Consider the following 3,767-nt stretch of genomic DNA (forward strand, 5'->3'; position numbering starts at 1 on the left):
AAGCTCATCTTTCCCCACAGAAATTCTACAGGCAAGTCAAATTACACCTACTATGTACATACATTTACATGTAAAGTATTGTTTTAAGTGCTTCACCTGGCATTATCTAATTTAACTCTCCCAGTAATCTCATGAGGAAGATATTCTTGGTAACCTCATTTCACAGATGAGGAAACTAAAAGTCAGAGAGGTTAATTTCCAGTAAAATAGCTAGATAATTGGAGGAGCCAGAATTTGAATTCCAGTAATCTGGTTTGGGAATCGCTACTAATATGCAACATGTTACATTGCCTTTCTTAAAAGGAAGTATGATTTGACAATTTTATTTTCAGCTGCCTAAGATATCTTGATATTAATTTCTCCATAGTAGAGATACATTTGGAACCAGAAGAGTCTAACCTTTGGATCAGAACCCATTTTTTCTTAGACAATTTTTCAGTAGGTAATATAAGAATTTGTGATTATTCTCTATTTTATACATTTCCAACATAGTATTCTTTTTAGATATTTAAATATCAACATCAAGTTATGATCCAGTTCTAATTTTAAAGGCTTAAGAGGCAATTTTTGGTGGCCTTAATATCTTTTCTTTGATTCATTTCACACTGGTTTTATAATTTAACTCTCAGAGTGTTCTATTAATCGCAAATTATTAAGAGAGAAAAGTTTGTAAAACTATTCTGGTAACTGCTAAGTTAAGATGTCTTTAACTGCTTCTATTTTGCAAGGGCAAATGGGTAAATTGTCTTTTTCTCCTTATTCACATTAGGGAGATAGAAAGAGTAGAGGAGAATCTTTCTTTCTTGTCAGTTTTCCTCTTTTCCATATTCTATAATGAGAGTTAAACCAAAATGATAAACAACTAGAGCTTTAACCTTATTCATTATTGCAACCTCTAAGGGAAATTCTGCTTGACGTCTTTTAATTTTGCAATTAACAAAGAAAAATTTGACCTTGTCTGAAACTGTGTTTAATTGCCCAAAGTTCTCATTTAAAACAGTCTCTAAAGATTTGCACACCAGACCTCCCCACCACCCCCCACCCAGACGATCTTTTACTGCTATTGCAGCCTCAGTTCTATTGTACTCTGAGAGTGATTCAAGGTGAAATCCTGGATCTACATTGACTGTCTCTCTCACACAGAGTACGTCATTTTTCTTTGTCTTTTCTATAAACAGAATGTGCTATTCTTAAATTAGTTGCTGAAAAACTAAAGTATACAGAAGTGGAATGACTTAAGTAATAAATATACAGTTTTAGGTCTCAAAAATATTAGGTATCTTTTAATCCAGTATTTAATTTGAGTCTCTAATTTAACATGAGATTTAAGTAGGTCAGATATTGTATTAAATGTATAAGTGTAGAATCTGAGGTTCAGATATATTAAGCAACTGACTCAAAAACATAAATTCCCCAAATGAGGAATCAGGCATTTAAATCAGTATCTTTCCGATTCTCCCCTTCCTCTACCTCAAGATCACACGTCTGTTCAATCATTTAGACAGCAACAGACTTGTCAGAAAACAAAGCTAACATTTTCAATTCTGATATCTAGATTCTTTATTCCGTTTTCTCATGTGTCATTTATTTTGTGATTGTAATAAACCTTCGTAAACTAATTTTATATATGATGCTATAAAATACAAATCTTTAAAGATAAAAATATCCAAATGTAAAAATGAAATTATATAGAATTTGCATTTGCTTTTGGGTAGAGAAGGGGCACACTCTACTATTCATGTGATCCATATGTTTGGAAAAGCATCTGCACACCAGGAAGGTAAAATCTACTGCTGGAAACTGAAGACCCTCAGGCAGTGGTTATCTGAATACTAAGTATTTAGTGATTATGATGGGAAGGCAGAACAGGAACTTGTCTAAAATTCTGGGCTACCTTGAAAAGTCTTAAAGTGATAGCACACTTACTTCCAGTGCATTTCTATCTGAGGAGAAACGTCAAGAATGTACTCAGACTTAAAAAGGCATAGATTTTGGTCTATTTACATTAAATGTTTAAGTTAAAAAAGCACATGATGGAGTTGAAGAAAACTTGGTGGGGTATTAAATAAGAGAGATGCATCTTCCCCCCTGGCACTTACTGAGATTTAGAAAAGTCGTGCCTCCACTCTGGATCTCAGATTTCTGATCAACAACAAGAATAGGTAATGTGGGATGATCTCAACAGTCTCTTCCTTCTTTGAATTGCTTTTTCCCTCCTTTTAATCAACTACCATGCAATCAAAGTATGTTTACCAATCCAAGTTCTGGTTTACAGCACTCAGATAATTAAGAGACCCCTGCTCTGCTTATTTTCCCACATCATTGATTAAATTAATATCAATCTATTTCCACCATGTGTTTATCAAATAGTTTACATTTACTTCTCTTATAACTGTTAAAAATTGGATTACTATCCCCACGTTATAAATGAGTATATAATGCTTTAGAAAGCTTTAGCTACTTCTGTAAATTTTTCTTGCCAATGGCAAGAGTATCCTGGGCTTAGATCTCTGGTAATCTGACTTCCAATTTGTATGATGAATTTCTTAGCATCAGTTTATTTTACACATTCAACAGGACTCTGACCTTGTTCCAGGACCTTGCAGAACTGAAAAATGGAAAGATAACTTATTTTGAAGCCAGATACACCTGGGATGCATGTCTGTTATCATATAATTTAAATGATTTACTTCCCATATTTATTAATTGTAAATTTATTTTTTACTTTGTAAATTTTTGGATAAACCGAAAGGGGAATTGATGATACATAAAATTTTATGTACAACTGAGACAAAATAGACACCCTATAAACTGGTGGCAAAAGGGACTCAGTTTAGACTGTCATTTATGTTCCCAACAAGTACTACCAATATCTTGGCAATTTCTGGGAACAAAACTGATTTTCCAGGAAACAAGGGAATTGAAATGTCAAAATTAGAGAGGTATTATTTTGATTGGACCAACATAATCTATTTCAATATAGATATTATTTTAAAATAATAGTATTCCTTTTTCATTTAGCTTTTTAATTGAGAAAATAAGCCCAATCTCTTTGCTATCAAGTAAATTAATAGAACAATAGATATATTATTGATTCATTGTGAATCAAGATGTTTATATAATAGGGAAATTCAACTAAACTCCTTATGTATTTGCAAATCTTTTATTATATTCTGCAAACTAAAAAAATAAGTACTGCTTATATTCATAAAACTAGAGTATACTTCCATATAGTCAGCAAAATATATATATTTATGTTTATATATATGATAATAAATAAATTAATTTGAGCTTAAGGAAAGAGATGCTTCATGTCAATTTACATTGCTCTGTATTTTTATGTTTATATGTGTGGCATTTAGGAGATTTCTTAAAATATATCTACTCAACATAAGAGGTTTATATGAATATGATTAAATACACAGTAATCTATTCATTATCTTAATTATTTGCATGGAATGCAAATTATAGTTTGAAGCTATTCAATGTATTTTTGGAAAAGTCATGCAGAGCATCAACATTAAACAAGTATTTGCTTTCAATTAGGAATGTGTGACTTTCTTAGAACCAATCATTTGAAAATATAATTTGCACGCTAATTGTAAATTGCAAAGTCATCTTCTGGTTACACTGCTTCTAGGTCTTCTTTTTTTATGTTAATTTTAACTTTTCATCTCTAGATGGTGCTCTAAGTACCTGCATTGCAGCTAGACATGTTAACAACACTGGGATAAAAGGCAAAAGAAACAAAAGCTTAAAAATAAAAA

Source organism: Homo sapiens, chromosome 13, assembly GCF_000001405.40.
Source record: "Homo sapiens chromosome 13, GRCh38.p14 Primary Assembly".
Taxonomy (NCBI): Eukaryota; Metazoa; Chordata; class Mammalia; order Primates; family Hominidae; genus Homo; species Homo sapiens.